The sequence below is a fragment of the Homo sapiens genome, chromosome 8 (genome assembly GCF_000001405.40).
Source record: "Homo sapiens chromosome 8, GRCh38.p14 Primary Assembly".
NCBI lineage: Eukaryota > Metazoa > Chordata > Mammalia > Primates > Hominidae > Homo > Homo sapiens.
The window spans coordinates 20,382,846-20,404,433 of NC_000008.11; the positions used below are offsets into that span (position 1 = coordinate 20,382,846).

Here is a 21,588-nt window from a genome sequence, read left to right on the forward strand (position 1 = left end):
TAGAACTAGAAAATAAAATAGAACCATCCTTACCCATGGCTTATGAGGGTGCATGTCACTTAGCCTCTGCCCACCTTTCTGGCCCCGTCTCCTGTTTCTCTCCCTGTCAGTCACTAAGTTCCACCTCCCTGGCCTTCTCTCCTTTGCTTCAGCCTGAACCAAAGTTGGTTGCAACCTTTGAGCCTCTGCACTTGGTGTCTCTGCCAGGGATTCTCTTTCCAGTTGTTTATGCCATAAACTGTATGTTATCATTTTGGGATTTAGCTCAAAAGTCACCAACTTAGAGAAGTCTCCTATGACCATGCTATCAAATATTGGCCTCCTTGTCAATCTCTTTCTCATTACCTTGTTTTATTTTCTTTATGGCACTTGTCTTATTCATTTATTTTGTTTCTCCCCATCCTCCTCCCTTCACTAGAATGTAAGTTCTAGGAAAGTGAGAGGGTGGTCACTTTTGCTTTCTGCCACACTGCCAGAGCCCAGAACAGTGTCTGGTGGACTCAATATTTGTTTAAATAAAAGAATGCATGAATGGTAAAAAGACCACGTGACTGAATGTATCCAAGATGAATAAACATAGCCCCTACCTTCAAATAGTTCACAGAATGCTTGTAAAGGAGAGAGACTAATAAACATTTCCAAACCAAGGTGACAAAAGCTATGATAGAGAAAGGTATAAAAGCACTATTCGAACACAGATGAGGAAATAATTAAATTTGCTTCATTTGAATGAGGCTTATCTCTTTGCTTGTATGGTAAGCTCCTTAAGGACAAACTGTATTTTATGCTTTTATTACATTCCTCACCGCGGTGGTTTCCAAATGCCAGGCCCCAGACAAGCTGCAACAGAATCACCTGGGGAGTTAAAAAAAAAAAATCACAGATTTCTGATTCTGGATATGCAGAAGTGGAACCCTAGGGTCTGTCTTTGTATAACAGTTCCTTGGGTAGTTCTGAAGCACATTGGCTTGGGGGCCAGTTTGCTACATTGTCTGAGACAGGGCTGGGCACATTGTGGGCACCCAGCGTGCTTGACTGAACTGAAATAAATCCATCTCTGTCAGCTCCATTCTTTCTCTGACCAGCTGCAGCTGAGCCCAGAGTGAATGACCACGCATGTCTGAGGTTCCTGCCAGTGGGGAGAGCACGAGAAGATAACAGCAATCCTTCCTTCTTCCTAGCGTGACGGCTTTAGTGTCGCTCATACCTCTTCACAGGGATGGTTATTACCAGCCTTATGGGTCGTTTTATTCTTTTAACTGAACAGCACACAGGCATTCTCCTCTTAGCTACCTACCCCTTGTGAATAGTCGCGTGGCAGCCGAGAGCCGCAGCCTGGAGACAGCCACCTCCGGGCCGCACGGTCTCCTGGTTCTCACAGGCACTGGGCCCTGAGCTGAAGGGCAGGCGGGAGTCTGCGTGCCCATGCTGGTGTGGACTGATGTCTGCGACTTGGGCCACAAAGCAGGATTGGATTGGCCTCCATAGGTTCTGATGTGATTTCCCTGGAGAACTGGCCTCAGAGGGCTGGCAGCCTGGGGGCAAGATGGGAAATGGTCTCCCTTCATCATTGGGAAGCCTCTGGACATCTTTGATCCTTTAATCTGTCATGGTATCATTTTTTTTTTTTTGGGACAGGGTCTTGCCCTGTCACCCAGGCTGGAGTGAAGGCTCACTGCAGCCTTCACTTCCTGGGCTCAAGCCATCCTCCTGCCTCAGTCTCCTCCAAGTAGCTGGGACTACAGGCCTGAGTCACCATGTCTGGCTAATTTTAGTAAAGACAAGGTTTACTATGTTGCCCAGGCTGGTGTCAAAGTCCTGAGCTCTAGCAATTCTCCAGCCTCGGCCTCCGAAAGTGCTGGGATTACAAGCGTGCGCCACTGTGCCCAGTCTGTCATGGTATCTTGACTTGTCATTGGGGAGGACCCTATCCAAGAATGGCTGGAAAGCCAGTGACTGACTGGGAAATGTCAATGCTTGTGATTCCAGAATTTTTATATAAGAGAGGCTTAGGGGTGGCAGTATTTTGAAAGGCTAACTAAAGGCCTTCTAGAAAGTCATGTTTTATAGCAAGCCCACTGTTTGTGCTTGCATTACGTCTTGGCTAGGGGTAGCCTAGGAGTCTGATGAAGATATAGGGGAAACACCAGAGTTCAATGCACCCCTCCATGCTGCCTGCTCATGCCTTCATTAAAGTCACCACTGCTCTTTGGGCTTAATCTTGGAAACTAAAGTGCCTCCCAATCTCATCTTCTCGCTCCACTTCTTTCTTTCTTCACTCTTACACTGGCCAAGATCTTCACAGCAGGAATACACTCTCAGTTGGTCTTGTTTGTGCGTACGCTAGCTGCAGATGTGCAGATGTATGTGTATCAATTGCTTGGGACGCCTGTGGGAATGAGAAAGGAAGGGAAGTGGCTTTTGAGGAGGCAGTATCTCCGGGTGACCGTGGGCTGAGGCACTCATGCTTCATCTGAGGGACACTTGTTTCCTCTTCTGTAGCATGCTTCACAGAGATCTTATGTTTGGCCTTCCAGACCATAATGCTTAGAAACAGCAGAAAGCAGCAGATTAGAAGAGAGCAGAGCCCCTGGTGCGGTGGCTCATGCCTGTAATCCCAGCACTTTGGGAGGCTGAGGCAGGTGGATCACTTGAGCCCAGGACTCCGAGACCAGCCTGGGCAACATGATGAAACCCTTACTCTATAAAAGTTTTAAAAATTAGCCAGGTGTGATGGTGCATGCCTGTGGTCCCAGCTCCCTGGGAGGCTGAGGTGGAAGGACACCTGAGCTAGGGAGGTCAAGGTTGCAGTGAGTCGTGATCAGGCCACTGCACTCCAGCCTGGGTGATAGAGTGAGCCCCTGTTTCAAAAGCAAAAGCAACCAACTAAGCAACCAACCAACCAACCAACCAACCAACCAACTAACCAAGCAACCAACCAAACAAACAAACAAAAGAAGGGAGCAGAGGTTTCTAGGAACAGGTATAATGACCATGGGGCGAGGATGGGAGAGACAGACTGGCTTTTGGTGAAGAACATAGTGAGCTCAGTGCTCAGGGGAGGCAGCACTTGCCAGGGGCTCGCATTGCTGGTGGAGGGTGTGGGGGCCCAGGAATCAGACCATCCAGGTTTACATTCTTATTCTGTCCCTCACTCCCTTGGAGGCCTTGGTCAGGTCCATTAAACCTCTCTGGGACTCAGTTTTTTCATCTGTAAAATGGGAATAATCACAATCCCCCAATACTTCTGGGCTCCTATCAAATGAGAAGCAAGTGCCAGGGTGCTATTTTCTCATTTTTCCCTGCTTCTTCTTTTATTTGTTTGATACAAAAGCAACAAACTTACTTGTGGCAAAAACAACTACTTGTGTACTAAAAAAAGAATAATGGATTCTTTTAGATGTTAATAGCGCTTTGTAAAACTTATACACAGATGTAAGAAACAGAAAACAAAGGAGCAGGAGTTCCTTAGGTCTCAACGGTTTCAAGGGCCCCTCTGTACAAAAACTCAGGAAGGCAACTTACTTCCTCAATGTGCAAACAAACAAACAAACAAAAAACCTGAGGAAAAAGGTTAACGGGTGTGCAGCACATTCTGTTTAATAATGTGGGGAAGCATATAATGCTTTTAATAAAGACTTCCATAAAAATTGTGAAAATACATAGAAGTTCTACCATTGGGAAAACAGCCTGCATCCTTTGGGCTATTTACTTATGTGGAAAAGCTCATTCTTCTTGTATGTGACTGATCCTTGTGCTTCCCAATTATAATTACGTTTATAACCTGGGTGCCAGCTGGGAAGGGGGTTCCTCCCGTTATGCAGAGTAGGTACAAAAGGCAACCAGCAAAACAGCGCTCACCAATTTCTTTCATCAGTTGGTATAAATTTGTCTCGCTCTTTGATTTGTATCCATGTACTCTCCTTTGGTACCCTCTCCCTAAGACTTTTATCAATTTGAGCATTAGCTAAGTTAGTTAAACAGATTGGTCTTCTTGTCTGGGTATGGTGGCTCAAGTCTGTAATCCTAGCACTTTGGGAGGTCGAGGGAAGAAGATCACCAGGAAGTCAAGACCAGCCTGGGTAATAAACAAAGACCCCATCTTTATTTAAAAAAAATTTAGCTGGGCATTGTGGTGTATACCTGTAGTTCTAGTTACTTGGGAGGCTGAGGCAGGAGGATCGCTTGATCCCAGGCCAGGAGGTTGAGGCTGCAGTGAGCTATGATGGCACCACTGCACTCCAGCCTGGGAGACAGAGCGAGACCCCATCTCTACAAAAAACAAAAATAGAAAAGCAAGTTGGCTTTTCTCCCCATCTTTGGCTATCTCTTCTCCTGGTTAGGCTTTGTTTCCTCAGCTCACTGGGTCTTGCTTTGGCCATTCTTGGAGCTAAGAATATCATTTTATCTCCAGCTGGCTGGTAAAAGGAGGTAACCGCCACTGTTTTTTTTTTTTTTTTTTTGAGACGGAGTTTCGCTCTTGTTGCCCAGGCAACAAGATCACAATGGCGCCATCTCGGCTCACTGCAACCTGTGCCTCCCGGGTTCAAGCGATTCTCCTGCCTTAGCCTCCCAAGTAGCTGGGATTACAGGCATGCACCACCACGCCCGGCTAATTTTTTTTTTTTTTTTGGTATTTTTAGTAGAGACGGGGTTTCTCCGTGTAGGTCAGGCTGTGGACGAACTTCTGACTTCAGGTGATCCACCGGCCTCGACCTCCCAAAGTGCTGGGATTACAGGCGTGAGCCACCGTGCCTGGCCTCCACTGTTTTAAAAAGACGGAATTGCATGGTAGAAATGCTCCTGGATCTGGAATCAAGAGTCCCAGATTTGGGATTGGTTGTTTGGTCTTCCATTTCAACCCTCTGGGTCTCAGTCTCATATTTCTCCCCCGTAGAATGAGGCAGATGGATTAGCTAAACTCTCAGGTTCTTTCCAGCTCAGATGTTTTTGGATTCTGAGAGTCTGTGCTTAGTCGTGGTTTGCCTGTTAATGTTTGCCTACAATGAGACTCAAAGTTTCATCTTCATTCTTGCGGCTGGATTTTACGGCCTTTGTGAGACATAGATCTAGCCCATAAGTGTGGGCCCCCAGGGAGATGGACCGTTTCCTCCTCAGGGTGTGTATTCTTGAAACTCTGCATGTGGTGGCTTGATGGAAAAATACATGAGTCGGTACTCCGAGGGACCTCAGGGTGTGACGTTTTGACCATTTTTTAAAATCAAGAAAATAGGCTTAATTTTGCCTTAATCTGGGGTTCAAGAAATCATCAAATTATAGAACTTGAGTTAAAAGCATTTCTAGAGACCTTTAAAAAATTTAACCTTTCTTTTTAAATTATAAAACCAGTACATGACCTGGTAAAAATAAATTCCAATGGTATTTAGTGGTATAAAATGAAAAGCAAAAATGTCCTTTAACCTCACCTTCAGTGCCCCTTCCTAAGGAATCCCCTGTAATGAGTTTCTTATGTATCTCCTGAGAAATTTTCTGTGCAAAATCTTGCATTCATACGATCTCTGTATCAACTCCTTCCACCTGCACTTAAGCACACACACATACACAGATGTAGACATTTTGTAAAATTTGCATCTTGCTTTCTGCGTTTAATGATACAAGTTGGAGATTTTCCACACTAGTGCTTATGGATCTGTTGCAGGGCAGGTGAGCCCCAAAACTGGGACTTAGCCCAGGAGAGTTTTTGGCTTCACCCAGGGAAAGCCCGTGGTGTTAGACAGCAACTTTTCTTGAAGTGGCAGTGAACAGCAGAAGCAGACATACTGTTCTTTGTGGAGCAGGGTTACCCCATTGGCAGTGTGCCCACAGTAGTAGCTCAGGGTCAGTTCTGCAGTCATACTAATACTCATTTTTAATCACATGCAAATTAAGGGGTGGATTATTCAAAATTTTTTAGAAAAAGGGTGTTACTTCCAGGTTGTTGCCATGGAAAGGGGCAAGAACTTCTAGGTCTCACCATGGCAAAGGTTAACTGACATGGCGCTGGTGGGCGTGTCTTATGGAGAGGTGCTTTTCCCGTTTCCTTATTTTAGCTAGTCTTAAATCCGGCCCCAAGTTTGAGTCCTGCCTCCAGAGTTGAGTCTCCGCCTCCTACCTTAGGTCTGCCCTGTTCTTTATAAGGCCATCCAGTATTCCTGGAGGGGAGAGGATTTTGGTTTCAACAAGCAGTGGACACCCAGATTATTTCTAGCTTGTTGCTGCTGCAAACAGCGCTTCTTCAGAAAGCCTTTAATTCGGTGGTTTCTAAAGTTTGATCCTTGGAACATGAGCCTTTAGAGACACTTGGTGACAACAAAACAGATTCAGAGGTCAAGCAAACATGGAAACCACTGCATTTTAGATTCCGCCTTACAATGGCCTATTAAAGTTTCCTGGAATTCACCGAGTAAGGAAACCTGAAAAACATGGCTTCACCTGATGCTTTCCCAACTTGTTTTTGACCATTTCACTGCTGAATACATACCCTCGTCGCCTATTTATATCTCAAAATATGTGTATACTAGTGTTCTCTTATGAATATATAGTAGCGTGTTGAGGAAGTGGTCTCAAAAATGTTGCTTTACCCTACAGATGAGTTCAAAGAGAGGGAATTACTGGTACAAGATGATAGAACCAACAATTAGTGGCAGAAATAGGAATAGAACCCAAGGCCCATCCTTTTTTTTACTATAGGAAGAACAACCTCCTGTATATGGAAGCCTCTTCCCAGGCCATGAAATGTTGCACCCACGTTCAAAGGGTTTGGCAAGAAAGCTGTGGATCTTAAAACAAACCCCCTGTGACCTAGGTTTGTAATTTGGCTTGAAGTATGCAATTACTTTAACAAGAACAGTTTGGTAAATTAATTGGCTTGTCACTAGATTCATATTCATGGTGCTTTCAGTGTCATTTTTATAATGCCACAGTGTCTCGTCAGTAACTGCCTGAGGAGCATCACGATGCTATTGCCCTGATGGAGCGAAAATGGGCATGGCGCTGGGGGCTGGGCAGGTTATGTCGGGGAGGAACTATTTGCCTTTCTCATTCAAGTCCACCCAAATGGTTGAGATAGGGAAGGAATATGGGGCCAGGGACTAAGGATGTGGAAACTGACAAATCCTCAGCTAGTTCTGGTGGGCTATTTGGAAAGCTTAGAAATCTTCTCAGAACGAATTCTTAACCCCACTCAAGAGGACTGTGCAGACTAGATCTAGGGTACCCTGGCAGAGTTGAGAAAAGAAAGAAAGAAGGAAGAAGCCACTTGGTGCCAGGAACTTTCCTCAGATAATTTGTGGACACTGTTTTATTTTTTTTTAATTTTTAATTTAATTTTATTTTTTCATGGAAATGGGGTCTCACTGTGTTGCCCAGGCTGGTCTCAAACTCCTGAGCTCAAGCAGTCCTCCTGCCTTGGCCTCCCAAAGTGCTGGGATTATAGGCACGAGCTACCGTGCCCAGCACACACTGTTTCGTTTAAACATTGCCACTCTTCAAAAGAGTTCTTATCCCCATTTTACAGAAAAGAAAATTGAGGACCTGAGAACTGAAATGACTTCTCTAGGGTTACACTGAGTTGCAACCTTCCTCATGGCACTGGGTGACCACCAGGTCTGAGCAATAGTTGAGTCTCATCCCAGTCCTTCTGAGCTGTGTGACATTGGACAGCTTAGGCAATGATTCTATGTTGAAGTTTCCTCAGCTGTAAAATAGAAAGAAAATATACCTCCCAAGTTGTATGAATTTATTAAAACAGGACAGGTGAGCATGTGTAGCCCAGTCCTGGCATGTGGTTTTGAACTATTCCCTGCACCATGCTGGTTACCCTGGTGGTTCCTTGTGTTCTGACCTCCTCTGCAGGTTCACTTCAAGGCTGAATTGTTCATATGGTGCAACAAATGTGGCTGAAAGTCCAGGTTGGTTTTTGCTGTCTACATGTTGAGTGGCCCAGATCAGATGGTAAGAATTTGCCTCACGAAGCTCCTCACACCTAGTGGGCGCTCCATAAACATTTGCTCACTGATTAGATAATTAATCAATCTCTCTCTCTCCTCCATCACTTGGCTTTTTTCCACCTCAAACTGCCTGTATATTGCCTGGCCCTAGGAGCCAGGAGCACAGCTGGTGTCCAAGAACGGTGAGATGACCCCCAAATCACCCACCTGCTAGTATTACCCTGTGGCCAAGACAATAGCTCTTACCCGGACCAGTGATGAGGTTTTACTCTTGGGGTCTCTGGCTCTTTCTTGGTGCTGCTTTTCATGGGTTGGCACCTAGTGAGGTCACCTGACTCACCCTTCAAGCGACTGTGGCACTCACTACCTTTATAATTTCTCTCGTTCTTTTTTTTCTGTATTGATAGCTGTGTGATGCTGGGTTGCCATGACAACTGATTGATTAGCATCCAATTCCTGGACCGGGAAACATGCAGCCATAAAGAATTACAAATGATGCCTGATTGTCTGCTGCCAATAGCCTGATTGCTGCCATTTTCTGGCAGGTAGCTCAGCCCTAACAGGAAACCCTGTGCTGTGCAATTATTGCGACGTGATTGATGCCTCACTATAGTTACAATCGGCCGTGTTTCCAACTCAGGAGGTTTAAAAAAAAATTCCCCCTTTCAGATGAAAATGCTCATAAACATGGAAGGATGAAGTATGGAGTGGGAGAGGGAAGTGGGGCTGGCAGGGGAGGTCAGCGTGGACTGAGCAGGAGCCCAGCTAGAGACTCAGAGGCAGGGCAGGGAGAGAAGGCAGGATGGTGGCATATGGATAAGGAAAAAGGGATGGCTGGCTGCTGGTGCTTCTCCACCCCTCCAACTCCTGGGCCCCAGAGCACACGAAGGGGTGGCTCAGAAATCACTTCCAAATGAGAGGCCTGAAAAGTAGAGGGTGGGTGCAAGATGGACAGCAAAATCTACACAGGCCACAGGTGGTGTACTGCTCAGGCCAATTACTGAAGCAGCTCTTTGGGGCTCAACTCATTTTTGATGGCCAAAGAACAAGCACCTGGGCCTGGAAATAGAGTCTGGGAAAAAGGCCATGACACCAGGGAGAACAGGGTTTGAGAGGGGGCCAGCATGGGGGATAGAGCCACAGGGAGACTGGTGCTCAGAGCCTTGGGGACACAAGAGACCTTTTCTTTTGACCCAGGGAAAAAATGCCTTTCTTGTTCCTCCATTGGATATTGAATATTTTTATCAGGCTTGTAGAGAGAGATAGAGAGAATGAAAATATTTGTGACTGTTAGGGCTAGACTTTATTGCAAAGGAAGGTAGTCTTTTACCTTTTTTTTTTTTTTTTTGAGACAGAGTCTGGCTCTGTCGCCCAGGCTGTAGTGCAGTGGTGCAATCTCGGCTCAGTGCAAGCTCCGCCTCCTGGGTTCACGCCATTCTCCTGCCTCAGCCTCCCGAGTAGCTGGGACTACAGGCGCCCGCCACCGCGCCCGGCTAATTTTTTGTATTTTTAGTAGAGACGGGGTTTCGCCGTGGTCTCGATCTCCTGACCTCCTGATCCGCCCGCCTCGGCCTCCCAAAGTGCTGAGATTACAAGCGTGAGCCACCGCGCCCGGCCGTCTTTTACCTTTTAAATGCTGTCTGTTCCTGTGAGCAAATAATTGGGTATCTTCCAAATCATGTCCACAATTCAATGATACCCAAGTCATTGTGCTATGAATAATTCTTCCCCTTAGTTTAAAGATGGTCTTCTTTGTTTTAGTCTTCCTATAAACAGCAAACACTCCTAGAACTAGTATTATTTACTTACGTAAACCTAAATGTGATTTTTTTTTTTTAAATTTTTGAGACGGAGTCTGGCTCTGTCACCCAGGCTGGAGTGCAGTGGCACAATCTTGGCTCACTGCAACCTCTGCCTCCTGGGTTCAAGCAATTCTCCTGCCTCAGCCTCCTGAGTTGCTGGGATTACAGGCGTGTGCCACCACACCCGGCTTATTTTTGTATTTTTAGTAGAGATGGGGTTTCACCATATTGGCCAGGCTGGTCTCAAACTGTTGACCCCGTGATCTGCCCACCGCGGCCTCCCAAAGTGCTGGGATTACAGGCATGAGCCACTGTGCCCGGCCCATCAATGTGTTTTTGTCGTCACCTTATAATTGCTTGAATCCTTGCTGTCATAATATTTAGGGATTTTTACTTTTGCATTCATTATTGCTGCTACTTGAGAATGGGGACTATTATCATTAATCCGGCATGTAATGGAGCCATAATAAGTGTTGTTGCACGCATGAATAAATGCAAAGATGGAGCAGCCTCAAAGTACATGTGGTAGAAATTCGGTGCAGTAAGGCGTGATGGGAGTGGTGGTGATCAAGCTAAAACGGGAACTGTTGAAGACCTGTTCTAGTCATATAAAGGGAGGCCTGGATCTAGCCTACTTCTTAAGGAAGGCTTAAGGATGTCAGAAGACAGGATCAGAAATCCAAGCAGGCTACTATCTTTGGTACCTGACATTTTTAGCCATGACTCATGGATACCATAGCAAAGAATAGGTTTCTGTAGATGCGTGCCTTTCCTTTTGGCTACTGATAGGTATTACTTGCCTACAGCGTGGATCTATCAATCAGAAAAACCACCTATAAGTTGACCCCAATAGTCCAATATTCTTTTCAAATGAGGAAAAGTGGATGAAACTTTTAAATGTACTATTTGTCTTCTCACTATATTGTAACTAAACCAAAGCCAGGAATACAGAGAAAGCATTTTATATATTATTGTTGAATTTAACAAAGAAATTAGGTTGAAACTCAATGACTTTCTGGGATGTGGCATAAGAATGGAAGAGGAATAGTAAAAATAAATGTGGGGAATTATTTAGGCAATGGGAGATATTGATGGCTTCTAGGAACCAAGATACACGCAGTCCTAAGTTCAAGTGGCAGCTCCACAGCTTATCAGCTGTAAAACCTTGGGCAGGTTATTGAGCCTTAGTTTCTCCATCTGTAAAATGGAAGATAATCACAGCACGTATTTGTAGGGTATCCAGAAGAATGAATTAAGAGAATGGATGCAAAGCACACAGCACATGGTAAGAACTCAGTAAGTGTTAAGTATGATTATTATGTTTAATTCCTGACCTAGAAGTTGAATGTTTTTTATTTCAAATATGTGAAACAATATAGCAGTCACTTGAAGAGATCACACACCTTACACTGGTACGACAATGTGTGATCTCACAGTTGGACAGGGGTGGGAGGAAGTGGGGGGGATCTTTTGACTTACTTGAAATACCTCCAGAGAATGTCTTGCTTATTGTGGAACGACAGCTACAAAATACTTGTGTTATGGCCCAAATGTAAATATGTCTGTTTCTATTTAGGAGATCACTTATTTCTACATTTGTAGTACCATTTAAGACCATTCAAAGCCATTAGGATTGGTGTCCCTGACTTCTGGTCTCCTAGACAGATAAAAGCTGGTTCCCATGGGAACTAGTTTTGCTTTCTCTTCCGTCTAATTAAAACCTATTTACCCAGGACTAAATGTTTTGTAAGTACCTTCCAGTGAGTTCTTCTGTTGGTTTACCAAGCTCAGTGCAAGCACTGGTAACGTAACCATTTGCAACACCAGTCAACTTCAGTTGAGTGAGTACACACGAACTTGCTGGGACTGATTTTTTGTTTCTTTGGTTTCCTTGCAGTTCAGACCGGAAAGGATCGGGCTCCATAGGGAACTCTATGCAACTGGCTGTATCTAAACATTCTGCAGTCTTTTTGTTGAGTGAACTTTCTGGGAGAAGAAGTAATACAAGATAGTGATATAAGCCATGGATCTTCTCATGCCTCTGAGGGCAAAGCGTCCATTTTAGGAACTTGAGAAATTAGATTTCACTGTATTTGAATGACACTGTACAAGATATGCCTTGTTATCTACTTAACCATTGTTGACTTTCCTTTTCCCACTGTGTTTTCCCCATGTTCCTGCAGAGATCTTGCTTTGTTTGGTCCCTCCTCAGAGAACAAGGTGGAGGGGCTCTCTGAACTCAATTTCTGCCGCTTTCTAGCGTGGGATAATTGTTATCTTCATTGTTTCCTGTTCTTAGGAAAAGAGCCTTCTTCTTCACTTCTCTTTTCTAGGTCCTCAGAGAGCTGGGCAGATGCCCATGTGACTGAGGCTGGGCTGTGCAGAGGAGGGAAGAAGAGAACCATCATAGCTCAGTCTCACAGCTCAGACCCAAACACCTTCAGACAAGAGCATCACTCCGGGTCTCTTTTCTTCTTCCAGCTTCTGAGTTGGAAATCAGTACTTGTGCTCTTCTCCTTCGTTATTTTCACCTGGAGAACCTTAGTGGCTTCCAGAAGCCATAAAGCTGCCCTAATTCTCTGTCTCTTCCTGCTCATTGCACTGGTGGATGGCAAGAGGCACCTGGGTCTCTCTGGCAAGCTTTGGGGTCTGCACATGGTGTGGGTTCTCTCTGTTGCCAGGTTCCTGCCACCTGCTCTGCTTGGAGGAGACAGATAAGGGCAGGGAGGGCAGGGAAGCTCTTGCCAGCTGGCAGGGCTGGCCTGGAGATCTTATGGTGGCTGAGTGAGCTGCAGTCTTTCAGGCTGGATTTGCCCTGGAACAAGTTCGTGCAGGGAAGAGTAAGATCTTGGCTAAGGGCAAGGGAGCCCAGGTGAAGAAGGCGGCTTGAGAGGTTAATAGACTTGGGGATTGGCTCCTTTTGAAGGGCACCAAGGGATCCCATCAAGCACTTCCTAAGCTCTTTGGGAGAGGCCCAGGGAAGGGAACTGTAAGCTTCCTATATGCAGCAGCACTTACCCAATGCACAGAGATTATTTATTTACATAACTGTCTTGCAATTGAAGGCTTCTTAAAGACAAGAATTGTGTCTTTATCCCTCAGTGCTTTCAGAGTGTAGCTAGAGCCTGGCAGTGAATTAGGAGTCCCTTAATTTTTACTGATTTGAATGGAAATTAAAGAAATTGGTAAGGTATGTTCAGGGCTGAGAGGGTGCCCCAGACAAGCTAGCAACTTGGCACCATTTTAAACAATATTGTTGAATATTTTCTCAACAATTATTTGGAGAAGAGGTGCAAGTGCTGCTAAAGTGGATCCTTACATTTTCAGGCCCTTTCCGATAAACAACAGATCTATTGTGAAACAGGTCGCCCTCCTTAGAAGCCTTTGAGCAACCCTTAATTAAGCCTGTTGTTGGGAGAGGAGAAGGTCTCAACCTGGAGCTTTCCATTGTAGCAGCTCTGGTCAACGTTTTTCTCATCAGATTTCCGGTGATGCTTTCGTTCCAGGCAACTGCCTGGATATCCGCAGTCTAATCCAGTGCTGCAAATGCATTTGCCTTTAGAGATGGGTCAAGTCAACTACTGCTGATTTTGCTTTGTTGTATTTAAAAATATATTATTATAACAACTTCAAAGGTTCCTTTGAAAGAAGAATAACAAATTACTCCCTATCACAAGACTGTAACAAAATAGGTTTTATTTTTGTGTATTCTGGAGGCTTTGGCCATAATCATACATATTTTACATCATTGTAATCACAGTTAACATAACATTTTGCATTCTCCTTTATTCACTTCACATTATATCAAGTGTTTCTTTATATTGTTCCATTCTTTTTCTAGTTATCTTTTAAAATAGCTGCATAATATTCCATGTGGCAGGTGAACAAACTATGAGATTATTTACATCTTTTTGCTGTCAGAAGCAACCATACAGTAACGCTTTTGTGTATACAGCTCTTTTCTTATTTAAATAATTTATTTCTCCTTAACTTTATTAAGGTATGATTGACAAATAGTAGTTGTGTCTAAGGTGTACAATGTGATGACTTGGTATACATATACTTTGTGAGCTGATTACCACAATCAAGCAAATTAACATATCTATCACCTCCCATGGTACACTTCCCCCACTTTTTTTGTGGTGAGAATATTTAAGATCTACTCCTTTAGCAAACTTTAAGTATACAATATAGTATTATTAACTGTAGTCAACATGTTATATATTATAGCTCCATAACTCATTCCTCTTATAACTGGAATTTTGTGCCCTTTCAGTAACATCTTATTTCCCCTACCCACTGCCCCTGGTAACTGCCATACTACTCTCTGCTTTTATGAGTTTGACCTTTTTAGATATTGCATGTAAATGATATTTTTCAATATTTATCTTCCTGTGTCTGGCTTATTTCACTTAACTTAATGTCTTCCAGGTTCATCCATGTTGTTGCAAATGGCAGAATTTTCTTTTTTTAAGACTGAATAATATTCTATTATATAGTTATATGTATTACATTTCTTTCATTCATTCATCTGTCAATGGACGCAATTTGTTTTCATATTTTAGCTATTATGAGTAATACTGCAGAGAACATGGGAGTGCAGCTAACTCTTCAAGATCATGATTTCATTTCCTTTCGATATGTCAGAAGTGGGATGCTGGATCAAAGAGTACTTTTATTTTTAATTTTTTGAGCAACCTCTAAACTGTTTTGCATAATGAATGTACTATTTATATTTCCACTAACAGTGAACAAAGGCTCCCTTTTCCCTGTATCCTCCCCAACACTTGTTATCTTTTGACTTTTTGATATAACCATCCTAACAGGTATAAGGTGATATCTCATTGTGGTTTTCCCCGATGATTAGTGATTATGAGCATTTTAAAAAATATATCTCTTGGCCATTTGTATGTCTTCTTTGCTCATTTAAAAATTTGGGTTATTATTATTATTATTTGCTGTTGAGTTGTTTGAATTCCTTATACATTTTGGATGTTAACCCCTTATTAGACATGTGGTTTGCAAGTATTTTCTTCCATTCCATACATTACCTTTTCATTTGGTTGTTTTCTTTGCTGTGCAGAAACTTTTAAATTCGTTGTAGTCTCACCTGTTTAATTTTGTTTACGTTGCCTTTACTTTTGGTATCATATTCACAAAAATTATTGTTAAGACCAATGTCAAGGAGCTTTCTCTTTATGTTCTCTTCTTGGAGTTTCAGGCCTTTGAAATATTTTATCCATTTTTGAGTTGATTTTTGTCTATGGCAAAATGGTCCAATTTCATTCTTTTGCATGTGAATATCCAGTTTCCCAGCACAATTTATTGAAAAGACTACCCTTTTTCCATTGTGTAGATTTGGCACCTTTGTCCAAGATTAGTTGACCATGTATGTGGGTTTATTTCTGGACCTCTATTCTGTTCTGTTGGTAAATGTGTCTGTTTTCATGCTAGTACTATACTGTTTTGATTACTATAACCTTGTAATATAATTTGAAACCAGGAAATGTGACACCTACAGCTTTATTATTCTTTCTCAAGATTGCTTTAATGATTTGGGGTCTTTTGTGGTTCCACATAAATTTTAGAATTTTTTTTTCTATTTCTGTGAAAGAAGCCATTAGAATCTTGATAGAAATTGAGTTGAGTCTGTAGATTGCTTTGGATAGTATGGACATTTTAACAATGTTAATTTATTTAATCCTTGAACACAGAATATCTTTCCATTTGTTTGTGTCTTTTTCAATTACTTTCATCAATGTTTTATAGCTTTTAGTGTACAGATCATTCATCTCCTAAATTTATTCCTATTTTATTCTTTCTGATGCTATTCTAAATGGGATTGTTTTCTTAATTTCTTTTTCAGATATTTCATTGTTAGTGTATACAAACTCCTCTGATTTTTGCATGTTGAGTTTGTATCCTATAACTTTACTGAATTCATTTAGTAATTATAACAGTTTTTGGCAGGATCTTTAGGGTTTTCTATGTCATGTGCAAACAGAGACAATTTAACTTCTTCCTTTCTGATTTGGATGTCTTGCAATTATTTTTCTTGCTTAATTGTTCTGTGTAGGCAGGGTGCAGTGGCTTATGCCTATAATCCCAGGACTTTGGGAGACTGAGGTAGAAGGATATCTTAAGGCCAGGAGTCCGAGATCAGCCTGGGCAACATATCGGATCTTGTCTCTACAAAAAATAAAAAACTAGCTGGGCATGGTGGAACACGCCTGTAGTCCCAGCTACTTGGGAGGATCATTTGAGCACAGGAGTTCGAGGCTGCAGTGAGCTATGATTATGCCACTATACTTCAGCCTAGGCAACAGGGTGAGATCCTGTCTCTGAAAAAAAAAAAAAAAACTATTCTGTCTAGGATTTCTAGTGCTATGTTAAATAGAAGCGATGAGAGTGGGCACCTTTGCCTTGTTCCTGATCTTAGAGGAAACGTTTTCAGCTTTTTACCCTTGAGTATGATGTTAGCTGTGGGCTTGTCCCATATGGCCTTTATAATGTTGAGGTACACTCCTTGTATACCCAATTTGTTGAGAGTTTTTATCATGAATGGATGTTCCATTATATTAAAACCCAAAGTTAACAGGAAAGAAATAACAAAGATCAGAACAGAAATCAATGATATAGAGATGAGAAAAATGATAGGAAAGATAAATAAAAGTGCTTTTTTTTTTGAAAAAAATGTAATTGACAAGCCTCTAGCTAGACTAAGGAAAAAAGAAAAGATTCAAATAAACAAAATCAGAAATAAAAGAGGAGTCATTATAACTGATATCACAGAAATACTAAGAATCATAAGAGACTTTTATGAACAATTATACACAAACAAATTGGATAACCTAGAGGAAATGAATAAATTCATGTAACCTACCAAGACTGAATCATGAAGAAACAGAGCATTTGAACAGACTATTAATGACTAAGAAGATTGAATCAGTAATCAAAAACCTTCCAAAAAAGAAAGACCCAGGAACAGATGGCTTCACTGGTGAATTCTACCAAGCATTTAAAGAAGAATTAATACCAGTCCTTCTCAAACTCTTCCAAAAATTGAAAAGGAGGGAACACTTCCAAATTCATCTTATGAGCCCAGCATTACCCTGATACCAGAGCCAGACAAGGGTACTACCAGGAAAGAAAATTACAGGCCAATATCATTGATGAACATAGATGCAAAACTTCTCAACAAAATACTAGCATACTGAACTCTACAGCACATTAAAAGAATCGTACAATATGATTAAGTAAGTGCCATTTATTCCTGGGATGCAAAAAAGTTTCAACATATGCAAGTCAGTAAGTGTCATACACCACATTAACAGAGTGAAGAATAAAGATCTTACGACCATCTCAATAGATGCAGAAAAATCATTTTATTTCTTCGGGATTAATGTCTAGGAGGAGGATCAAAGGCAGTGTATGTTGGCGCTAGGTCATACCAGCTTGTGAGATCTCATTTTGCAAATCTGTTGCCAATTCTGTATTCAGAAAGTTCCCTTAAAATAAGTTGTGAGAGGTAGAAATATTTATGTCACACAAATTAACAAATGCTACAAATCTAATTTTTGTTTAGTTTATGGAGAGCTGGCTTACCAGCACACTATTGATCAAAGCATGTAAACTTTTATTTTATTACTCTTGATAAATTTATTGCCATATTATTTTTCAAAGAAGTTGAACCGGTATATGTATAACTGATTTGATTGAGATGTCTTAACTTGTTGAAGTGTAGCCATAAATTACTTATATATTTTCAGTAGCTGCTAAATTGTGTTTTCTCGAAACCTTCTTTTCCACAGGGAAGTGGGCTTCCTTAATATATCTAAATCCACTTTCATAATTTTTGTTCATTTAAAAATAAAAATGACATGGGTTGCTAAGTTTTAGTTCTATCCATTTAAAGGCTTGAAGTTTTGGTTCAAACCTCACCTCATCTTCTTGTAGGAGAGGCGTGACTCCAGTGGTTTGGGGTGGAGGGCTGTTGTTATCTGCTACCCTGACTAGCTGTTGTGGTTCTCTCCATCTTCCCTTTACTTATTCTTTGGAACTGAGCTGGGGCAAAGAGAGAAGAATTTATGTGATTACTCATGGTGTGTTGGCTGCTCTTCTCTCTTGGTCATCTCTGTGGTTCCTCTTTTGGTGTTCACATAATGTCTGTCCCTTCTGTTGTCCATCATTGCTTCTGTCTGCCACTGACTGATTATAATGTTTTCTGTGTAGTCAATGTCCCATTGTTAATTCCTTTCCTCCTGAAACAACTACAAACTGGACAACATGTATGGAACAAGTTTTCAACACATTGGACAACAGGCAACAAGTGACAGTGATTCCGCGAGATGGGCAACAACAGGGTAAGCCGTAGGGTTGCCTCAGCTTGAGAAAGTTTCCAGGCTGTAGCACAAGGAAGGAGAAACAGGGTAGAGGTTGGAAGTCTGGGGAGGCCAAGGAGACTAGAATAGCAGGGCAGAGGGCCTGAGAGAAGAGGGTCAGATTAGGACTCTGGAGGGCTACAGAATCCCACTCAAGGCTTCCGCAGAGCACTGATGGGTGCAGATATGTGAGCACATTACTCAAGGGCAGAGAAAAATACCACCCCTCATTTTTTAAAATTATTATACTTTAAATTCTGGGTTACATGTACAGAACGTGCAGTTCTGTTACGTAGGTATACACGTGCCATGGTGGTTTGCTGCACCCATCAACCTGTCACCTACATTAGGTATTTCTCCTAATGTTGTCCCTCCCCTAGCCCCCCACTCCCCGCAGGCCCCAGTGTGTGATGTTCCCCTCCCTGTGTCCATGTGTTCTCATTATTCACCTCCCACTTATTGGTGAAAACATGTGGTGTTTGGTTTTTTGATCTTGTGATAGTTTGCTGAGAATGATGGTTTCCAGCTTCATCCATATCCCTGCAAAGGACATGAACTCATCCTTTTTTATGGCTGCATAGTATTCCATGATGTATATGTGCCACATTTTTTTAATCCAGTCTGTCATTGATGGACATTTGGGTTGGTTCCAAGTCTTTGCTATTGTGAATAGTGCCACAATAAACATATGGGTGCATGCGTCTTTATTGTAGAATGATTTATAATCCTTTGGGTATATGCCCAGTAATGGGATTGCTAGGTCAAATCGTATTTCTAGTTCTAGAACCTTGAGGAATTGCCACACTGTCTTACACAATGGTTGAACTAATTTACACTCCCACCAACAGTGTAAAAGTGTTCCTATTATTCCACAACCTCTCCAGCATCTGTTGTTTCCCGTATCTTGAGTTGATTTTTGTGTAAGGTGTGAGGAAGGGGTCCAGTTTCAGTTTTCTGCATTTGGCTAGCCAGTTTTCTCAACACCATTTATTAAATAGGGTTTCTTTTCCCCATTGCTTGTCTGTGTCAGGTTTGTCAAAGATCAGATACCACTCCCCAAAATTAGTGGAATATACTCTAGGGGGCAAAGAGGGTTGGGAATTGTTCTTGTTCATAGCAGCCAGAGTGAAAACAGTCATAATTTGTCAGAGTTTGGGTAGAGTACTCAGAAAGGTTTGATATAGTAATAGGAGAAAATTAGACCTAGATCTAATGTCACTCTGGTCTCACTTAACAAAGCTTAAAAGCAAGACATAAAAGGATCAAACTGTTTCCAATGAACTTAACTGCATCCCAGTACAAAGATCAATAATTTTAATAATCACATAAAAATATCCAGCACAAACATGGTAAATATTTCAGTGTCTTGCATTTGATAAAAAATTATGAAGCAGGAAAATATAACCGATAATAAGAAGAAAGCCTGGTTTAACATTTGAAAATCAATCAATGCAATTTTTTATGTTGACTAGTTAAAAGGAAAAAAGGCACCTGATTATCTTGATGAGTACAGAGAAAACACTACCAAAATCTAGCATCTATTTCTGATAAAAACCTCTCAGCAACCTAGGAATGGCAAGGTATTTCCTCAACCTAATAAAAGGTGTCCAGGAAAAACCTACAGCAGACATTGCATTTAATGATGAAAGACTGAAAGACTGAATGTCTTCCTCCTAAGATCAGTGAAAAGTTAAGGATGTTTACTTTCACTACTTTTATTCAACCCTGTACTGAAGAATTTGCCAAGGCAATAAGGCAAGAAAAATAAAACGTACCCAAATCATAAAGGAAGAAGTAAACCTGGCGAGGTGTGGTGGCTTATGCCTGTAATCCCAACACTTTGGGAGGCTGAGGCGGGTGGATTGCTTGAGGTCAGGAGTTCAAGACCAGCCTGGGCAACATGATGAAGCCTGTCTCTACTAAAAATACAATAACTAGCTGGGCATGGTAGCGTGTGCCTGTAATCCCAGCTACATGGAAGGCTGAGGCAGGAGAATTGCTTGAACCCAGGAGGCAGAGGTTGCACTGAGCCGAGATCGTGCCACTGCACGCCAGCCTGGGCAACAGACCAAGACTCTGTTTCAAAAAAAAAAAAAAAGTAAACCTGTCTTATTTCGTAGACAACCATAATCATCTAAGAAGAAAATCCTATGGAATCTATGAAAAAGTTCAGGAAATAATCATGGGACACAGGATATACGATCAGTACATAAAATTTAATTTTTTTTTTTTGAAATAGATTCTTGCCAATGCATTCTTACCAAGTGCAATTTGTTGCATTCTGAGTTGCATTCTGTTCATTTGCCCAACAGTGCTCATCCCGATGTGTGTTTACATACTCACTTGTTTACATATGATCACTTATGTCTTCTCTGTGACTTCCCACCTGATAGCAAACTCCATGAAGGCAGACACAGTGCCTGTTTTATTGCTTGGTGTTTGAACAGCACCTGTTACTATGCTAGCACATACCATCCAATAGATGGTACCTGTTGTTATCATAGCAGGGAGTCAGTAAAGGAATAAAATTAAATTAACAGATGAACTAGTAATTTTGCAGATGAAGAAACTGAGGTTCAGATAAACTCACTCACTAACCTGAGGCCACATGACTAATTGAGGTTCCACTGCAGGTCCCTGATCCCATGTAAACATGCTGCTCGCTGTGTCTCTCTCCTGCAAGCAGTGGAGTGGCATTTCAAGGAGTGTTTCCCTGCCTGGCTCAGGAGAAGCTTATGTTTCTGTACCAAATGTTACTCCCTATCTTACAAAATTTGGGAGAGGAATAAAGAGGCAGCCTGAATGGCTCTAACCCAGGGCTGACGCATAGTTAAGCTGTCCTGGAGCCCAGCAGGCAGTTTGTAAATTATTAGAATGTATCTGCCACATCTGGTGCCTGCACACTGTGTGGAATGTGTAGCCATGGAGTTCAAACCAAGACCTCACATTTATAGGGTTGTAAAGATGTAGAGAGACCGGTGGATCTTGTTTCTATTCCACCCAAAGGCTAAGGTTGCCTCGCATAGATCTTTGAGAGGCGGACAGGGCTAAGAACTACTGCTTTGCCATGGAGCTTCATGAAAGCAGATAAATCCATGTGTCTTTGCCAGAGTTACTGCGATGTATCCAGTCAGATACTTAAGATCACTTATCCTCATCACCTTATTTAGTAGGAATATGATATTTATATATCATCCTGCAAGGTGGTCCATATGACCTCCTTCAACAGAAAATGTCAAGTGTATCACTGAGTTTTCATGTTAACAAGCATTGAGAAGACACAATTTATTTTTCTCACTAAATTTTTGTCTTGGAGCTCACCGTGCACCCAGCAGTCAATGTGGCCTGAAGACTCAGTCCAAGTGGCTCTGAGAGGCTATGATGCTCTTCACTAAATGTGGCCCCTGCTGCAGACAGTGAGAAGCTGAGGATCCTGTGTCTGCAGTTGCCCAAAGC

General features: G+C 42.2%; 1 annotated feature.

Annotated features, from left to right (window-relative positions):
* Window positions 893-1,394: an enhancer, noted in NCBI's record as "H3K4me1 hESC enhancer chr8:20241249-20241750 (GRCh37/hg19 assembly coordinates)". NCBI's record gives its function as "activates a minimal SCP1, AML or CMV promoter by ChIP-STARR-seq in primed H9 embryonic stem cells {active_cell/tissue: H9 hESC(primed)}" and the evidence as "EXISTENCE:reporter gene assay evidence [ECO:0000049][PMID:30033119]".